Raw genomic sequence first — 21,110 nt, 5'->3', positions numbered from 1 at the left:
TTACTCTATCGATTGATCAATCAAGCAGTTGATCAATCTATCTACTCATCTATCTATCTTCTTTAAAGATGGTAATGTTCTCACACAATGCCAGTGTCTTAGGTTGGACTTCTCAGAGGCAGCCCCTGAGATCAAGATTTGAGTGCAACTCCTTAGAGGATTCAGCTCTGAAAACATCAATAAGGCAGTGGAGAAGTGAGACAGAAAAGGTAAAAAAGATAATGAAAGGTGTGTTAATGTTCCGGTTTGCACTGTGGGTGATTCTGTCCTGCTGGTGCCTCTGGGAAATGGTATAATACATGACTTAGTGTTATGCCACATGAGGGGTGAGAAAGTTGGGATTGTCATCCTCCAACTCACATTTGTCATTGGGTAAGGGCTGCTCCAGGAGACATTACTCCCCAGCATTTCTTGCCTGCTCTGCCTATAGACCAAACAGGTTCCAGCGGTGAGAGAAAGCCCTTTAACAGTCATAGGGACTTGTGGCTAGGCATGGTGGCCCACACCTGTAATTCCAGCACTTTTGGGGGCCAAGGTAGGTGGATCACTTGAGGTCAGGAGTTTGAGATAAGCCTGGCCAACATGGTGAAACCCTGTCTCTACTAAAAATACAAAAATTAGCCAGGCATGGTGGTGCACATCTGTAATCTCAGCTACTCAGAAAGCTGAGGCATGAGAATAAACAAAATTTATGAAGGACAATTTTGTTAATTATCTAGAACAGTGATTACTAATCTCATATGTAAAATAATGCTTAAAATTGACAGCAAACAATAATTTTATCTTGATGAGGTCTCAAGACATGGAAGTGACATAGCAACTACTTTATTTTTTATTGTAAATCTTCTGTTGTTCCCTATATTTAGTTGTTCTCAAATGAAGGAAGATTTTTACAAACTGAAAATCTTTTTTATTAGTTATTTGTTCAACCAAGGTCGTAAATTTATCATCATGTCATTCAATGAGCTGGTTACTTCCAAAAAACAAGAGGTGAGCACCTTCTCTATTAGAAGGTCATTAACAAACTTAGTCTCTTTCTTCACAAATATCATATTTTGAAGACTTAAGATAAGCAAATTAGGGTCCTTCAAAATTTGCATTGTATTGGTCTGTGAGAAAATATACTGAATTCTATTTTCCATTCCCCCACAGCTCGACACACTTTCTCTCCAACTGAAATGTCCCATGAAAGCTTTTAATAACCACCATTAACTATATTCGATGGCTTTTTCTTGGTTTTTCACTCCTTTCTTTCTTTGAGGTACTCAATGCTGCTGAATGGTAGCATACATAAAGTTTTCTTTTTTATATTTTATTTTATTTCTGTTTTTATTTATTTTACTTTAAATTCTGGGATACATGTGCAGAAAGTTTTCTTACCTTCTGAAAAACCTGAACTTTCTGGGTCATCCAACTTCTTTTCCATTTGGTCTTCTCCTTTTGGTGTCTTTCAGTGACCCCTTTCATTCATTTTTTTACAAGAACAGGCATCCTCCATAGTTCCCATTCTGTCTCTCTTGGTGACCTCTCTTCATCCAGATGTGACTTCATGATGATGACTCTTAAAGCTTCATTTTCAGTCTTCACCTCTCTCATCTTATATAGGGTTTAACATGAAACTCCCTGATAGAGAATTCCCCTGTGCTTCTAACAAGCATCTCAAACTCTGCATGATCAAATCCTAACTTGTACTCTCTACTTCAAAATAGATTTCCCTGTTATTTTCCTTTTGTCATCTTTAACTCCTTCTTCCTATTCAACTTATAAGGAATTCAAGGTCTTCTATAATCAGGGAAAAAAGTGGCCTTTCTAACTTTATCACTTTTGTCCTTGATAAATTTTCGTTGTATTCACCATGCTCCAAACAGTCTGAACTTTGCTTTCTTCTTGTTTTTATTCAAATCACAAAATTTTAAAAATCCAAAAGTTTAAATTTAATTTCTGTGTGATGTCAACAAAATTTTTCTCAGCCCAATCTTCTCAATCAGTAAAATAGTAGCCTCCTTCACAGAATCTGTGTAATGACTACATAATCTAATATATGTCAAGGTATCTAGCACAGTGTTTGGCACATTGTACCCTTGCAATAAGTGTTTGCAGGTCTGTTCATTCATTCATCATTCTGACCCTTCTCCATTGCCTTTGCCATGAAAATTTTTGTTCCTATAGCCCCCTAACCTCTGAACTCTGCCCTTCTCTATCTTTTATTCATGTATAAGTTCAAAAGGTTACTTGGCATTCCTAGAGTAGGCTTTCTACAAATATATTAAATACCTTAAAATGAGAAACCCTACTTTCCACTTCTATGCATAAAGGAAGTACCAAAAATATGGAATCTAGAACTACTCTCCTCCTAGTTATCAAGTAAATTTCATACCAAATTTAGTATATTATTGCAGATGAGAAAACAGTTAAGTAATAGTTGTTCATTGTAATCACAAATAATAAGGAAAATAAGGTGACAAATGGTTTATTTCTATAACAATATGATACATTGCTGCATGTCAATTATTTCTGATAGGAATCAGGAACACATACATATGGTGCTGTAAAGGAGATATGCACTTCGGCATATTTATTAGAAGAAGCACATTATTACTTTGTGAGTTATCTAGAATTTTTAACACTGACATTATCTTACATCCTAAAATATGTGTCTGATAACTGGTTAAGTAGCTTCCTTTGATGTATCATTTACAAACTAATTGTTTTTGTTCAAATGACTTGAGTTTATTGTCCTTTTGCTCTTTGCAATACACTGAATAGTTAAAAGCTACTGAATGTTCTTACCTTATTTCTAAGATTATCATCAAATCATTGGCATTGGCTTGTGACATTTTAGAAGAAAATAACTTTTTTAAGCATAAGCAATGCTTTTATAATCTCCTACTTCAAATTGCTGAGTTGTCTCAACAGCTGCTTCTTGCCATTCACCTTGAAAATACAGATTTTTTTCACCTACTTCAATCCATTTGGAATTTCAGATGGGGTTCCTGTAAGTTATTTCTCTCCAGAAGCTGTGTCTTATCATTTCATCTCACTGGAAGCCATAGGATGACTCATTTTTAAAGAGCGTTTTTAAAATTACCAAGGTATCATATGTGTATTTTAATAAATTCAAATAATACTCAAGTATGTAGAGTTAAAAGTAAATGTATGACCTCTGCAAACCAATGACACATCCTTCCCCAAAAGTAATCCCTGTTAACTGTTTGTCTGTATCCTTCCAGAATTTATATTTTACACACATATACATACACATACACACACATACATATAGGTGCATAAATTTAAAATTATATTGTGCATTTACTATTATATTTTTTCTTAACATGCTGCTACTTACTTTCTCTTTAGTAATACATTTTAAACATCTTTCTATATCTGTACATTCACTTTTAAAACTTCTGCCTAGGACATATGTAAATCATTCACTGAGCCTGCTTCCTGCTGATGGACATTCAGGTTTGTTTCAGTCTTTTATTATTAACAACACTGCAGTGCACATCATTACATGCATATTACATGCATTACATGCATATATTTGTGTATTTATATGAACATTTTTGAAGGTAGATATCTAGAAATGGTATTGCTGGATTAAATAGAATGTACATTTAAATCTTGATACCTACTTCCAGTTGTCCTCCAAAAAGGCTTTATCAATATACATTATTTCCAACCACATGTGAGAATCTACATTTCTCTCCACCCTTTATAATAGTGGATATTATCACTTTTTACTTTTTAATTATTTATATTACCAGCATCTTGCTAACCGTACTTCTTCTGAAACAAATGTCTTCATAATAGTCTGTATAAATCCTGGCTTATTACTGAGATTTTCCCCATAATGGTACAGGTTATGAATATGTACATGGATAATGGTACATGTTAAAATATACAAATGTAAAATTGAAATTGCAACCCTAGTAAATTAAGCTGTTTTGGAATGGTGTGTATATCTCCTAGATGAACATTAATGGGGGCAAAAGTACAAGACATTCTGTAAAAGGAGATTGGCTAATACTGCTTCCTTAACAGTAGACAGTAAATGTAAGATGTGGTAAGCAAAGTGGCAAACGATTTCTTGCTAAATCCTAGAACAGTGGTTTTAAAATTGTTTCTAGGAGACCTAGGGTTCCCAGGAGATCTTACAGGGGCTGTACGGTGGGGAGTGGGCAAGGTGTGTGGCAGGGAGAAGGTTGAGGAGGACTGGCTGGTGGCATTAAGCTCCCTTCTTCTCCTGCTCCAACTTTCTCAGTGACTCATGTCTATTTTATACATGGAGCTTCTGAGTGAGATAATGTTAGAAAGAAAAGCTGTGCTACTAAAAAATATAATGATTAACTATATTTGTTTCAGAACCCAGGTAAAAATCTTTTAAATGAGGGGGCTGCTATAGATGGCAATACATTTTGATCTAATTTCTCTAGTTGCCTTTCACTGGGCCAATCATTTGAATTTGTAGTCTTGGGAAGAAATTAAAGAAGCCCAGTGCAGGAAACTGTGCTTGAAGTGTCTTCTCACATTGTATCCTTAAGCAGGGATTTTATGAAATTAGATATTACCCTGCTCTCCACCGCCACACCAGCTCAGGCACTCTTCCAGTTCAGATAGGTCTCTTGATTACTCTCCTCCAGTTTGAGGAAAAGACTGAGAGTCCTGGGCTCTGGTAGTTCAATGTTTAGAGACTTGCTGACTTTTAAATCTTGAGAGATTGACTTTTAAGTTACCTGCTCCTGCCACATCTCTTAGTGGGAAATCACTGTAGAAGCCATGCCGAGCTTATGATCTCATGTATAATGTTACCAAGCATCCCAGCCCCGCTGCCCGGCCATTGGCAGTTTTCATCTCCTGTCCTAGATCCTGCATGTTAATCTGAAAGCATGCGTTGGCTTGGCCACTCTCCTCCAGAAGCCAATGGGTTGGTCCAGAGCTTTCAGAAGTCATGCACTTGCACGTCCACTTCCACCAGCACAGCACAGCACTTTGTACTAAATTTTCAGGGATTACGTGCTTAATATTTCTGAGCTTTCTACTCTTTTATTAGTTAGTTAGGAGAGTATCTACTTGAGCAAGGTATTTGCAACTTTTGTCAGCTCTACTCTTAAAAACTATTAAGAATATTGGTATCAATGCTACGTCTCTATGATGATTCATCACCTATGAACTGAGTCATCTTTGTCTTAGACTAGGAACAGTTCACTTTATATGTATACACACACACACACACACACATATATATATATATATACACTTAATATATAAATATTAAGGATGTGTTCCATAGTATACAGATCCTCTTGGATACTCAGTGAAGAAGAAGTTTCTACAGTCAAATGTATTTGGGAAACAATCTGTCATTCTTGTTGATTTCAAAATGTGCATTAGAAAGGCACAGTGCTAAAAATATTTCTTGAATTTATTTGATCGTATTTTAAAATTACTTCTCCAATCTCCCTTTCTTTTTCCCTCCCTCCTTCTCTTTGTAGCAAGTATTTTTTCTTTTTTTTTGAGGAGAGTCAGTTCTGTCTTGAAGGCACAACTCATAAATCCTCCCAGTGCCCACACTAGGTGGTGAGTGGGCACTGTGTTTGGGCATTCCGTGGGTGCAGGCAGAATACTTTCTGTTTACCCAGAAGTCCCTGGAAGACTGCATTTTTTCTGAGACAAAGCACAGAAGAAAGAAATAACCCCCTGTGAGGCTAACAAGCATGAACCACCATTCCCTACCTGAATGGGTAGGCAAACGCTATGTCGATGCTGAGGTTACTTTCTGTCTTGTTGACGCAGTCCACACTCAGCCGCAGGCCTCCAGAATAGCCACCGCATGTTGCAAATGCAAAGATTGCAAAAAGCTGTGGAGAACAATTAAACAAATAGAAGGCAGTTATTAGGATGATGTTGCTCTAATGAGATATATCAAAAGGAGCTTAATGTCTGGATTGAGGGAATTTATGGTCCTTCTGAAGAAGAGCATTGCCCTTGGTTCAGCTGGAAGATGAAGGTAGAATGGAGTGAGGACTGGGGACATGGTGTCTAAAATAATTGTCTGGCAAGTGAAAGAAATGTGGCTTGGAGAATAATTAAAGACAAAGCCAAAATAGCTGTGTTTGAGTGTGTAAAGAGCTGTCGTGTCTCAGAGGGGAGAGGCATAATCCCATAGTCAAAGGCCTGGATAGCACTACACCAACTAGTTAATAATGGATGTCTCCAGGTAGGAAGATGTGGGGGTGTATCCTTGCTTTCTTCTCTTTGTTTGTCTTTATTTTCTACCATAATATGATTTGTCTTTTGGAATAATATACATCAATATTTCAAAGTCATGGTCGGAGAATTCTAGAGCTGAGTTTGAGGAAGAGTAGGTGAGTTTCTAAGAGGTGCTATTTTAGAGCACAAGATCTCAGTATATTTCAGCTTCCAACTTTCACTGGTGGTTACATCTCTGTGTTGGTTGCTGTTTCTAAGTCAACTATTAAAAGTTTCAACAGTTAATGTCATGGTCTATCCTGGTGTAGAATGTGAATCTGTGGGGAACCAGGCACCAATAATTAGGAGCAGGGACTCTGAGAGGTCTCCTAGAAAGAAGAGACACTTGGAAGACAGGATGGCCTAAGAGGGGACATAAGCAAATGCTAAACTTTGTTCATTTCATAATTTGGCTAAGCTCAAAAGAATTTCTTGGTCATTTCTAAAGGAAGTCGATCAAATGCACCTAACACTAACATGCTGCAGTATTCCAATTTATCTTAACTTTGGAATTCAGCTTCTTACAATAGTTTGGGGTCACTACTGGAAACACCAGCTCATTTTGCATAGTGAGAGGAGTTATTGCACAGAAGTCAACTGGGGTCAAGGGCTCTGGAATGTGACCTTGGGAAAGCTGCTTAATTTCCTCATGTCTTGATTTCCTCACTGAAAAATAGCATTGATGTTAACTCTTCTGGGTCATTTTGCTATTTGCGGTGTGACACAGACAGTTGCTGTGGACAAGAAGGCTGCTGGAGCTGGCAAGATCACCAGGTCTTTCCAGAAAGTTCAGAAGGTGAAATGAATATTATCTATAACTCCTGCCACCTCAATCTTAATCAAGGGTAGAAAAAAAGCCTCAGAATTGTTTTGTCTCAATTGGCCATTTATCTTTAATAGAAAAAGACTGGCTGACGATAACAAGGCATTGTGAAACCTTCACAGGCAAAGCAATATTTTGTGAGTCACGTGTGTGTGTGTGTATGTGTGTGTGCATGTGTGTGGCAGTTTTAAGTGACTAGTTTTTAAAATCTGTATTTTTAAAATGGAAAGAACTTGACCAAAAGATATAAGGATTGTAGTAAGAGTAAAATGTGTTAATATGTGGAAAGAATTTAGAACAGGTCCTGGCACTGCGTAAGCTCTCAATCAATGTTAACGAATATTACTGTAAATAGCAGATGCTCCTTAATAAGATGTTCCAGGCCATAAAATAGGAAATTTAGGCTTAATCCCTAGCCAAATCTGTCTGGCTGTCTGCCCCAGTGAGCCAACATCCAAGCAGTCCAGAAAAACTGATCTTTTTAACTTTGTTAGCTTTCGTTGCACAGGATTTGATGAAGCATTCAGAAGCTATTCTAGGTCGCTCCACAATCTAGGGTTGAGACACAGAATGCTGAAGCTGAAGGGAACCCCATCTTTAGGCCCCTGGTGTGGACTTGCTTACTCCTCATGACCAAATGCTCTCTTCCTGTAAGCAATTAGTATTAGTAGTATTAATAGAAATAAAGAGAAGGTGATTTTAATGGTTCAATGCTTAATTCTAGTTTTCATCAGCCAACACTGGATGTCCCAACCCTTTGGGCCACGTCAAGATAGTGTCTTTGGTAAGAAAGAATGGAATGATGGAGTCGAAAGCCCCATGCCGTGGCAATGGAGCTAGCCCTTTCTGTCTCCAAGTTTCCTCATCTGTAAAACAGGGATAACCCCTATGTCTCTCTGAATCGCTGAGAAAACTAAGTGAGACGGAATATGTATTTACATGCTACCCTCTTCCAATTCATGCAGAGATTTGTGTGATATTTACATTTCTCTGGGGGCAGGAGTCATAAGTGTGTGATAGGCAATTGTGCACATAAAAGTAAGAAGGGATTGTACATTGTGACCATTTTAAAGTGCCTACTATGGGCCAAGCATTGTGTCCAGCATGTAACATACATGGTCATATTTCCTAGTGGCAACAATATTGTGAGGCATGTGTGCGTGAAGCTTAATATTCCTATAGGAAAGATATGGTAGAATAACATAATTGTTTCAAAATGCTTCATTCAAAAAAATCCTTGAGACGTTAAAATGTAACAAATTGGAATTGAAGGATATAAAAACAAATCTTGTCCATTTCAGTGCTCAACAGCTATAAAGAAACTACCTTGGCTTTTCATCTTATATTAAGTGCTTTATATACAGTAAGGTATTATTAATACCATCATATAATAAACTTAAGAAGGAATGATAGTTATGTATTTAACTAGTTCAAAATGTTAGATACGTGGAAAGGAGGTGTCATGACTATTGAAACCACATACACCACAATTTTTTCTTTTTACTTCTCTTGACCTCTGAAAACACAAGGCATTGTAATTGAGTTAAATATGATACCTATGGGCTTCCAGGTTACATTTCTCCCTTCCCCATAGTCCTCACTGCTGTAAGGTACATGGATGTACTTTGATCAACGAACAGGCTGAGGCAGACATCCAGGCCTGCATGACTTAGCAAGTTTAGAGTGCAGGCGCATACTCCACTAGTTATATACCCTATTTGTGTAAGCTCATACTTGGCTCAAAGCCGCTATTGTCTGGAAAAGGTGTAACTTCCCTGCTGACATGCTCTTGGGCCCAACATGGCTCTTGTGCAGGTGCAGGCACCCAGAGAAAAAGTGAAGCTACTGATCCCTGTAAGGGAGAATGAATATCTAGCAGATGGACAGTGGGGAGCCAGCACGTGGCTCGGCTTGCTCGTGCCCAGAAATAGAGTTAAGCTGCTAACCCTAGAGCTGGCCTTGCAGGCTGGCCATGCAGCTGTGCATGGGAGCCAGCTGCTTAGACGAGCTGAAGAGCCAGAGCAGGCAGCCGAGATAAAGGTGTGAGTAAGCTGCTGATGAGAGAGCTGCTGAATAAAGCCATGTCTCATTTACCTGCTATCTCTCAAGTGTTCTTCTAGCTCCCTGCCTCACATCCACCCACTCCCCTCTGCCCTCAGCTGGGGCAGGAACCTGACCCTGAGCATGACAACTGCTTAAAGGGAAATCATACTATATGATTGATATTAAATTCACATGGGTTTGGTGAGGATTGAACATACGATGTCTGTATAACACTGGAAGAGTCAGATCCTTCTGTATTTTGGAGCGTGAAATCAACTCCTCCAGAGAAAATCTGCCAGTGGCCTGGTCCCGTAATTGGAATACATCAAGACACAGTGAGGAGAGGGGACTGGAGGCTCTCCAGGGGCCTGAGATTCTCTAGGTGTTGCCTTGAAAGAGTGGGAGGGGACTTCAGAAATCTTCCCACTGATTCCCCTCCCAGTTACTCGCCCAACCATTCCTCCTTACATGGGGGAGCAGAGCAGTTCTGGGGTGAGGCAGACCTAAGCTTGAGCCCATTTCCTAGCTGTGTGACACCGGGCAAATCACTTCACTTCTCTAAACCTCAGTTCCCACATCTACCAAATCAAGACTAACATGCTTCAATCATTGGATGTTTAATGACAGATTTGCTATGTGCCAGCTGTTGGGGAACAGAAAAATTAAATAGTCACAGAAAAGACAAGGATAAGGAAGTTTCCCACCCACCATGGGGCTTAATGCTAGATATGGGAGACACAATCAAAAAGCACATACAAATAAAATAATCTCAAATTGTGTTTCACGTTTTGAGGGGAGTTATTCTGGACAGGAGGTTATACCTGGGGGGGTGTTACATTTAAGCTAACACCTGGAAGATGAGTGAGGGGAAGCCCCGCAAAAAATGAGAGTTGAAAGTAGGATCCTGGGTCTCTAGACTTCCCAAGTTAGGATTCTAATTAGCTCTATGGTTGGGGGAAGAATGATGTTTTTTTGCCACATCGGTAAGAGTTGATTCTCAAATGGTCCAGTCTTCTTCACCCAGAAATGCACCATGGGTGCTTTGATGACCTGAGGTTCTCCATGTTTCTCCTGAGTGTCTCAAAATCACATTATCTGGAAGCTCATTACCAAAGCAGAGTAGGTGATTTGTCCTTTTTATCTTTCTTTCCTTCCTTCTTCTCTCCCTCCCTCCCTTCCTTCCTTCTTCTCTCCCTCCTTTCCTTCCTTCCTTCCCTTCCCTTCCCTCCTTCCTTCCTTCCCTTCCTTCCCTTGCTTCCCTCCCTTCCCTTCCTTCCCTCCCTTCCCTTCCTTCCCTCCCTCCCTTCCTTCCTTCCTTCTTCTCTCCCTCCTTTCCTTCCTTCCTTCCCTTCCCTTCCCTCCTTCCTTCCTTCCCTTGCTTCCCTCCCTTCCCTTCCTTCCCTCCCTCCCTCCCTCCCTCCCTCCCTTCCTTCCTTCCTTCCTTCCTTCCTTCCTTCCTTCCTCCCCCCTCCCTTCCTCCCTCCCTCCCTTCCTCTATTCTTCCTTCCTTCCTCTCTCTCTCCTTCTCTTTCTTCCTCCCTACCTTTCTTCCACTTTTTACGCTTGGTGGGGTGGAAGAATTTAGAAGGAGGACCTTGGAAGACATAAAGAGACATGGTATTCCTTGCTTGACCACTGATGCTCGAGAGGCCATTAATGCTAGCAGCTGAGAAGGTTTGTCTTGCAGATGCTCAGTTCTGCAAAACTAAGTGCAATTCCTAATGTAGACAATTTCCCCTTTGGAGAGACAGAAAAGATAGAATAACTTTCTGTTATATAGCCAGGATGGAATGAAAACTGGGGGTGAGACCTGGAAGGCTAAGGAGTGAGAAAAGCCTGAGGGGACAGTGTGAGGGGGTTGGTGTAGAAATAAGTGAGATAGAGGAACTAGAGAGACAGATCTCCATTTGAGGATGACTCTGTAATACTATAAGCAAGTTGATGAGAGATGTAAAGACATGGTGGTGTGTGTGCGCGCTATGCTCTTCAAATTCTAGGCTCCACACATCTATCTTCAGCCAGCACAGTGCCTTCTTTCTGTTAATGTGGTGCACTAGCTCACCTTACCAGACATTGAAGGTGTAACCCAGGGGCAAAAGTCCATTTACCCATTCAAGTAGAATTATAAAACCTCTGTATTCCCATCTTTTCTTAAGCTCCTGATACTCCTCAAACAAAGCAGACACCTCACCCTCCAGCACATTCTAATATAATCAATATCATAACCACTGGCCCAATCATTCACCTCCCTTGAGTTCAGGAGACCAAAATAAATCACCTGCAATGAACTCTCATTTCACTACTGTCTTAGATGATCTACGGCTCTGTTCCTTACAAAAAATTACTCTCAAAATTGACAGGATCAGCCAACAGAGAATCCCCTTCTATGCAGCCTGATTAGAAATGCATTTAGGTGGAACAGAACAAAATTGTCCTGTGTTTTCTAGCTTAATAGTCATCCATAAACCAAAATCACCCATAGCAGTAACGATATCTTTGCAGTTAGTGACATCAAAGGTTTTCCCCTGGGAAAAGGGCAAGCAGCTCAATCCTTGTGTGCTAATAGAACCACACACGGAATATCAATGAAAGGTGATATTAATCCTTCTGGTTAATTTGCAAGTCATAGTTAAATGCAATAGGTTGGAGGAGGACAGAAAATCAGGCTGATTAATGGCACTTGTAGGGATGCTTGGTCTGCAGTGAAGTCAGGGAGGGGACATCTCCCAAGGCCTGGTACACAACCTTCATGTACCAATCCTGGAAGAAACAAGAGTCAGGAGACTGGTAGGTAAGGGGTTGGGAGATTGAAACCAAGTAGTTGGTACCACTCAGTTTGGAGACTGAGACCAAGTGGTTGGTACCACTAAGTTGAGTTTGCCAACAAACAAATCTCCCAGGAATAAAGCTGTGTTTTATAGCATTTGCCAGTTTCCACAGTGCAAGTATTTCCACCATGGCCAATTCCAAGCTATGAACATACTGCCTCTAAATTTGGACCAGGAGGAGATCTACACAACTCCATTGCCACCAAGGTACTCACTTGGGCCAGGGACCTTCATTCACTTTGGGCTTGTTTTGTTGATTCACTCCTTTTCCATTAGGTATAATCATTCATTCACTCATTCATCCACTCAATTACTTACTCACTTATTTAGTTAGTTATTATAGCAGAGGCTGTTGATGCCCTGCTGATAGCTGCAGCTTCATGGGGTCAGTCCTCATACACACCAAAGACTTCCTTCCTCACATACCTGAATTTCTCTGCCGAGGGCATTCACAGCTAGCATACGTGTGCTTGGCCTGAGACTGGAGCAAGGTAGACGTCCCCAGGAGCTAATTCCCTGGCAGCTTTCAAACAGTGTGAGAAGGAAATTGGTGGGTAAAATCTCCAATGTTCTTGCCCTTTTGGGGGACAATTTTGAGGTGTGTTCAGAGGGTGCTCATTGAGACCGAGCCCCAGTTTCCCACAGAAGCAACCTGCTCACCACACATCGTTGGCTGGCTTTCCTTCCTTCCCCATCCCACCGCCCACTTGTCATTGTGCTTCCCATCATTGCTCCCCAAATAAACTTATTGAACCAAAATTCTCGTCTCAGAATCTCCTTTTGGGAAACATGACTAAGACAGTTATCAAACAGTAACTGAGTGGGCACATTTTACTTTGCAGGCACTACAAGTACCCAGGACTATGATAACAAAGGAGTCATATTTCCCTAACCACCTGATCTCAGCTTCTAGCTTACCGCATTCTAGTCTCTCTGGCTGTCTCCAAATAAACTGAGCTCCCTCCAGCTGTAGGACCTTCATGCTGTCTGTCTCCTTCAGCTGAAACTTCTGTCCTCACATGGTTTGCACGAAGGGTTTCTTCTCATCCTTTCTTTTCTTTTTTAAGGAGGAAATCTTTGACTACACTAACTAGGCTTCCTCATTTTAGTACACACCCACCTCGGCTCCCATTATTCTATTTTTTAACACGAGCAGACTTTTAAATATAGGTATGTGTTTGGTATTATTTAATCCTTTGCTTATGCTTTGTTTTACCACTTCCCTAAGAAAAGGCAATACACTTGTTTTTGTTTATTGCTGAATCTCTACCACCTTGCACAGTGCTTGGCATGAAGTTGGTGCTCCCTAAATGCTTGTTGAACTAAAAAGAAATACAATCAATCAATCAATCAATCAATCAATATCCTTCCCCTACCTCCAGGGAACTTGCTGTCTATTTCAAGACACAGACAAGCTAATGAACAGGCACTGCAATGGTGCTTTACTGTGGTGGCAGAAATTGGAGCACGTTAGGGGAATATGTGGTATATAATTGCAGGGGAGGGAAGGGGGACATAGCTGTCTGGAGGAATGGATAGCTAAGCAGAAACCAGGAAAATGGGCCTGAGTTATCCAGGTAAGAGGGAGAAGGGTGTTTTAGGCAGAGAGGAGTAAGTCAAAGACACACAAATGAGCAAGTGTGGCACATTTGGGCTGTGCATTTGGTAAGTCTGCATATGTTGTAAGAGAAAAAGAAGAGAGTTACTCAGTTTAAGAGGCAGGCAGAAATATGTCAGGTATGGGCTACCAGGGATCCAAAAACGACAGCCCGTGGCCATATCCAGCCTCATCTCTTCATCTATTTATGGATGCTTTCATGCTCTGATGACAAAGTTGAGCACTTATAACAGACAGCCTGTGGTCTGCAAAGCCAAACATATTTACTATCTGACTCTTACAGAAATAGTTTGTCAATGTGAAGACACGTGGGTCTTGCAAGCAGAATAGGTTTTCAGCAAGGGAGAGGCATTAAAAAAATTGCAGTTTAGAAAGGCCACACTGATTACACTGGTAAGTGGATTGGCGGAAGGTGGAAGATAAGGAAGTGTCTTACTTCCCCAGACAATAGGCAAATCCTTTGCCAACAGGACCATGCTTCAGCATCTTTGTATTCCCCATTTGGGCCAAAACATTGTCGGTGGCTCACAAATTTTATTGAGTAAGCAAATATATGAAGGAATGGGCAATAGAAGGATGAAGTGCTTGAAAAGGGGCATTTTAGCACTGTGTAACTGAATAGTAACATTGTAATGATGATGATGATAGTAATAATAAAATAATTATATTTAGTTTTCTGTGTCAGTCTCCTCAGTAAGTCCATCATTACATTGGCTTATTTAATCCTCTCAACAACATCCTAAAGTAGAAATATAACCCCTCATTTTACAGATGAGGAAACAGAGGTTAAACAGCAAGTCCAAGGTCACATGATCTACTCCTAAGTGAAGCAGTCAGGTCTGCCTTTCTCTAAAGTGTCTTCCTTCTTCCCAACTCGCCCAGGAGTGTGAAAAGGGTCTCTCTCTGATGGAGCACACTGTGGAAAGACTCATACAGAAATATTGAAGATGGGCTTTCTAACTGAGGCCTTCTCTGTCACATCAATGTTCAGAAAGTCAGATGAGGGCTACATGAAGCATCTGTAAGACAAAGCCCTGATCGTCCCCATTGCTGCAGGTGGTAGCTCACGTACTGTGCCTCAGCAACACCCAAGCCTCCACTCCGCAGCATCGCAGGCTGCCGTGGGGAGGGAGTTAGTCTGGCATGATAGGAATATTTGAAAAGCCTGATGTGAGTAGGTTATGCCAATTACACTTGACAAGTTCCTCCTCCTAATTGTCAGCCACCCACAGCTAAGGGTGCCAGGTTCCTCACTTTCATGCAGCTTCACAATTCAACAGCTCATAGGTTAAAGAGGCCCAGAGCCTCCCCCTCCTCCCTGCTTTGATGTCCCCCTCTTGTCCCATCTCCTTTCATGATTTGTCTTGAACTGATGATTAGTCCTCAACACCCCCAAAGGGCATTTCTGGGAACAAAGCTGATTACCTCAATAGTAGCCATAAAAAAGCGAGGAATATGTACTGTCAGGATATTTTCCAGCGCAGAAAGGTTTTGTTAACTGCGGCCTCCCTCATGCTCCACTCCCTATACAGGAGGCCCCCAGTAGACAGATGAATGCCTCTAAAGCTTAATGTTCCATTCCTACTGATCTTTGTCTAATTCTTTCTTTTAGTTTTTCTTCTCCTACTGATAATCGTATTTTTCTAAGGAAATTGACCAGTCATTTTCTCAGCCATCAGTTTATGGTTACTGCTATGGGTGTATAATACTTTGACCCAGAAGGCTTTTGTGAATAACCTTGTAAAACCTCAGATGGGAACTTCATGTGAAGATAAAAACTGCAAGTTGTCCCTGGAAGACATGCAATTGTCTTTTATTTGGAGGCACTGAGAAGTATTGTTAAAAGGCTTTCCTCCACAGAGCTATGTGTGTTTTCCTGTCTACAATATATAACTACCTGTGCTCTTAAATGGCCCCAATGTGGTCCATCCTGCATTCCATTTCATGCTACCTGTCAAAAATTGAATACCGTGCCCTTCTAACTGCTTTGTGATTTGTGTGAAATCTTCTCAGGCAAAAGCAGCCTTACAGAATTGATACTTCATGCCATCAACTGGGGAATTCAGAATAGGCCCTACAGAAGGAAAACTCCAAGTTACTTACATGGCAAAAGAAGTTTCTGTTTTCATTTTCTGAAATGACTAGTCTGGGGACTGCACCACATGGCAGAATATTTGGCTGTAGATAACAGAAAGTCTGACCTACGGGGCCTTAAACAAATAGGGGTTTGTTTTTCACACATATCAGGAAGTCTAGAGCTAGGTGACTACTGGTATTGATGATGTCTGGGTCATTTCTTTGATTCTTACAGTCTTTGCCTCATTGTCACAAAATGGCTGCTGTGTTCCTGAACACCTTTCACTGCATAGGAGACTAGGAAGTGAATCTTCAGCTTTCCTGAGTCTTATAGGGGAGGTGGGCAAGAGGAAGAGGGTTGGGATGATTGTTGAGTCAGTTAGCCTCCACTGTCTGACACAGAAACTGATGAGAGAAAGCTGGCAGAAATAAAACAAGCTTCCAAGTCATATTATAAAGGAAACACAGCATTGTCAAGCCCATGCAAGATCCAGTCATTTCTTTTTCACTAGATACTTCCTAGACAGCCCTGTGCCTTTATGCAATGAGCTAAATTGAACTCTTGCCTATCAATTGAAATTTAAATTTCTGCTTGAATTATATTTTTCCACATGAAGCCTGATACAAATCTTTAAAATAAAACAACACATGGCAGAAATGGTAATAACAATTTGGAAGTGATTTTCATTCCTATAAAAAAATAGAGTAATTAAATTATGAGGTATCCAATCAATATTATGCAAGGGTTAAAAAGAATGAGTAGCAGTACAGAAAAGTTGGAAGTTGTTTATAATCTTTTTAAAGCAAAAAAAGTAAATACATGTATTGCATTTTTGTAAAAGAAAATATTTCTACATATACATACAGTATATACTTTTTTACAGAAATTTAAGAGGTCTAGAAACATAATGCTGAAGTGTTATTAGTTGTAACCACTAAGGAGTAGAAGTTAGAGTCAGAATCTCGGTTTTAGTTATTTTTGCATTATTGCAATGTCTTCCAATAAGCATGTATAACTTTTGTAACTAAAAACTGATTTTCTTAAAATCATAAATGTAGACAACATCTGGGTAACTTGAGAAAAGTAAATTCAGAACTGTCATTAGATGGATGTGCTGTTTTCACTTTCGTTTGGATGAAAAATGTAAAGTTAAAGAAATCCACTCCCTTTGGAATTATCTTCAATAGTACTTTCAAATTTATTATATTTACAGAGACTATAAAGTGGAAGAACATTTTTGACCTGCTTATTTAATAAAATATTTTGGCAACATCTCTCTTTAGAATCAGGGTAAAAATATTTCAAAATACACCATCAGAACATATGGCTAAAGTATAGCATCAATCATTCGTTGATTAAAAAGGGCAACTTCCATCGGGTTGAATAGGAATAATTACCTTTAAAGGAATCAACTCCAATTCTCTCATATTTGTCAAAATGGAATAATAAGATAAAATAAAAATTCAGCAGAGCTGACACCATTTCTCTGACACCTGATTAGAGAGAGTCTTCTGAATTAATTTCTTGCCTATGGTAGTGTTTTTGAACTTGGTATTTTTCTTGGGTAAATTTGTGATATGGACTTCCTGAAGTTTCTAACCTACCATAACCATATCTTAGTGCATTGAAGAAAATCAGTGATGATAGATACCTTAACTGTATACTTCTGCTTGATAGAAAAATTAGAGCATGATGAGCTCATGCACACAGCTACTGTTCTGTAGTTAAATAGCATGCATCGGATATGCTGGAATGAACTACCCCTTGCCAGAAGCTGTGCTTTCATGATAATACAGAATGACTGAATTTTTTAAAAACTGAAGATAAGTCACAACCCTCAACTTCCTCCTCCCCTTATACTTTAGAATAGGCCTCAGATTGCCATGTGCAGCGTTCTCTGAATAGGAAATAAATTCCCATCGGGATTCAGTTCTGGCTGAATTCAATACATTTGGCATGTCTTTTTTAAAATTTAAATATTTTATCAATCACAGTTGTATTTGTATCCATAGAGCAATTTAGAATACCATAGGGTTATTCTGGAAAAAAAATTGATCTATAATCAATTGGCTGTATTCAATTAATGCCTTTTCACTAGACAATAAGAGTCATTAAGCAAAGAAATGTCACTTATCCTTCCTCCTTTTTTTAAAAAAAAATGTTTATTCAGCTTTACCTTAGTGAAAGATAAGCACAGCATCCATTATCAGAATAGTAGGAGGTTTGTTTGTTTGTTTGTTTGTATGTTTTTGAGACAGAATCTCCCTCTGTCACTCAGCCTGGAGTGCAGCAGCATGTTCTTGGCTCACTGTAAATTCTGCCTGCTGGGTTCAAGCCATCCTCACGCCTCAGCCTCCCAAGTAGCTGGGATTACAAACATGCACCACCACACCCGGTTAATCTTTGTATTTTTAGTAGACATGGGGTTTCAACATGTTAGCCAGGCTGATCTCAAACTCCTGATCTCAAACGCCTGCCTCGGCCTCCCATAGTGTTGAGATTACAGGCGTGAGCCACCACGTGGCCCTTAAGCATTTGTGTGTGTGTGTGTGTGTGTGTGCTTTGCAGGTATATTAAATAGAATCCAGAGCTTACCAGCTACAGGCCACAAGTATAAATAACATCACACTTAAGCTCATAAGCTAAGAGGTAGCAACCCAGAATCATTCATAGGACCATTTATTATCAGAAGAATTTTGAAACATGCAAATAAATGTGTCTAAAGATTTAAAAACCTTTCTACATTCTACCTCCTTTGAACACCATACTGGCAAGTTGCATCTCTACACTGCTTCTACTTCGAGACATTCATGGACTCGTTTTGATTATTCTGATTCTTTTTTTTTTTTTTTTTTTTGAGATGGAGTTTTGCTCTTGTTGCCCAGGCTGGAGTGCAACGGCACCATCTCTGCTCACTGCAACCTCCACCTCCTGGGTTCAAGCAATTCTCCTGCCTCAGCCTCCCACGTAGCTGGGACGCATGTGCCACCACGCCTGGCTAATTTTGTATTTTTAGTAGAGATGGGGTTTCTCCATGTTGGTCAGGGTGGTCTCAAACTCCCAACCTCAGGTGATGTGCCCGCCTCAACCTCCCAAACTGCTGGGATTACAGGTGTGAGCCACCGTGCCCAGCCTGATTATTCTGATTCTTAACCTGAAAATTGATGTTTGAACCTCTCAGACATGATGCGTGGTCATCAAATCATCTCTCTCCAATAACAGGAACTTGTTACAATGCATTTGGATTGTGTAAAGGAGAAGAAACGAAACTAAAATAGACAGTTAAAAGGCAGCGTTGATATTGAAAAATTTTCAAAATACAAGAGCAGACATTCCAGATGAGCAGGTTTAAGCATATTGTTATGTGGTATTTTCTGCTTATAATTCTTATCACAATAACCACAACAACTGCTGCTGCTACTTAGTGAGCTTCTGTTTGTATCTGGCAATGTGCCAAGTGCTTTACAGACATCATATCATTGAAATCTCATAACTCTGTGAGGTGAGTACCATCATTATCACCATTTTAGAGCTATGTAAACCATGGCTTAGAGGGATTAAGTGATTTATCCAAGGCCACACAGATAAAGATAGTTTAAATTCATGAGTTTATAACTATACCAAAAGGAGCAAGTAACCCAAAAAATTGAATTGGTCGCTGTTAGAAAATACTAGGGAACAAATTCATTAGTTTAAAAACTGGTAAATTAAGGAATTAATCCTGTATCTTGCTCATTCTTTAAGAACACTACTGGCAGGTGACCAAAGTGTAGAAGAGAAGACATTCTCTACATAAAAGTCTTCAGCTCAGCCTGAGCAACATAGTGAGACCCCCATCTCTACAAAATAAATAAATTAAATAAAATAAAGTAAGTTAGCTCAGCTGGGTGGCATGCGCCTGTAGTCCCAACTACTTGGGAGGCTCAGGTGGGAGGATGACGTGAGCCTGAGGGGTTAAGGCTGCAGTGAGCTGTGATTGCACCACCACACTCTGGCCTAGGCAGCAGAGTGAGTCCCCATCTCAAAACAAAAATAAACAAATGAATAAATAAATAAATAAAAGTATTCAGCTAATAATGAAGAAGAAATAATAGAATATCAAGGTTTTGCAACTTGTTTTGGACTGAGTGTTTGTATCCCTCCCAAATTTGCATGTCAAAGTCCCAACCCCCAGTGTGTCTGTATTTTGAGATGGGGCCACTAAGGTAGTAATTAAAGTTAAATGAAGTCATAAGGATGAGGCCCGATTTGATAGGATTAGTGCCCTTATAAGAAGAGACACCAGAGAGCTGACACTTTCTCTGTCCCTCTCCACAGGCTGAGAGAAGAGGCCTTAGCACCTTCAGCTTGCCAGCACCTTCAGCTTGGATTCCCAGTGTTCAGAACTGCAAGAAATAAATTTCTGTTCTTTAAACCACCCAGTCTAGTATTTTGTTATAGCAGCCTGAGCTGGCTAACACACAACCTTTCATGAATTAATAAGTCTAAGCACTGATGTCTAATATCACAAAAAGAGAGGCAACCAGATGTTACATACCACTAAAGGAAGATGACCACACCAATAATGAAGTATTCTTAGCAAAAAGAAAAAAAAAAACAAATCCTGAATTTGTGCAAGCCTCTATGTCCAACAGTAAATTTATAGGGAATATAGGAGAGAGAAGAAGATGTGAAATGACACCGCAAGAATGAAATCAGCAAAACCCAGGCCCTGAGAAGTTCTCTAGGGGAAGCACCTTGTTTATTTAAGTACAACAGCAAACTACAGAAAGTCCAAAAGAGAAAAGAAAAAGAGAAAGGAGGTGAGAGAGAGAGAGAGAGAGGAACGTCTAGATTAAAAGGAGTAGGAGGCTATCGTCCTTAGCAAACTAACACAGGAACAGAAAACCAAATACTGCATGTTCTTACTTATAAGTAGGAGCTAAATGATGAGAACACATGGACACATAGAGGAGAACAACACACACTGGGTCCTTTCAGAGAGTAGAGAGTAGGAGGAGAGAGAGGATCAGGAAAAGTAACTAATGGGTACTAGGGTTAACACCTGGGTGATGAAATAATCTGTACAACAAATCCCTGTGACACAAATTTACCTATGTCACAAACTTGCACACATACCCCCGAGCTTAAAATAAAGTTAAAAAACCAAAAAGGTCTTAAGGGACGTATCAACCAATTACAATGTGTGAATTAAAAAAAAAATTTAGATTCAATAAACTATAAAAATATGAGATTAAGTGAAACATTTGGAAATGTGTAGATATTTGATGACATTGAATTATTGCCAATTTTTGTACGTGATATATTGTGGTATTTTTGTTTTAAATACCTTTGAGAGATACATAGCAATTTGTTTATGGGAGGAAAGATATATGCCTGGGGAGAATGTAAGGATGACAGTATAAAAGGAACAACATTGCCTGTGAGGTAATTATTTTTGGCTAGACAACAAAGAAGCAGAGGCTCATA

At 39.8% G+C, this 21,110-nt stretch overlaps 1 protein-coding gene and 1 long non-coding RNA gene across 5 annotated transcripts in view; one reads left to right on the top strand and one right to left on the bottom strand.

Moving 5' to 3' along the window:
* The window catches only part of SYNPR (synaptoporin), a 416,321-nt gene that overhangs the window by 130,232 nt on the left and 264,979 nt on the right, over positions 1-21,110 (bottom strand). For all 4 annotated transcript variants that reach the window (XM_017005731.1, NM_001130003.2, XM_017005732.3 and 1 more), the window contains one exon: positions 5,737-5,861. In XM_017005731.1, coding sequence (XP_016861220.1) covers positions 5,737-5,861 — 125 coding nt within the window. The remainder of the gene's footprint in view (positions 1-5,736; positions 5,862-21,110) is intronic.
* SYNPR-AS1 (SYNPR antisense RNA 1) overlaps positions 1-21,110 on the top strand; it is a 126,456-nt gene that overhangs the window by 63,359 nt on the left and 41,987 nt on the right. The gene's annotated exons all lie outside the window — the stretch shown is intronic.

The sequence above is a fragment of the Homo sapiens genome, chromosome 3, assembly GCF_000001405.40.
Source record: "Homo sapiens chromosome 3, GRCh38.p14 Primary Assembly".
NCBI lineage: Eukaryota > Metazoa > Chordata > Mammalia > Primates > Hominidae > Homo > Homo sapiens.
The sequence above is the reverse complement of the archived record's forward strand: the minus strand, read 5'-3'. Positions and strand labels throughout refer to the sequence as shown.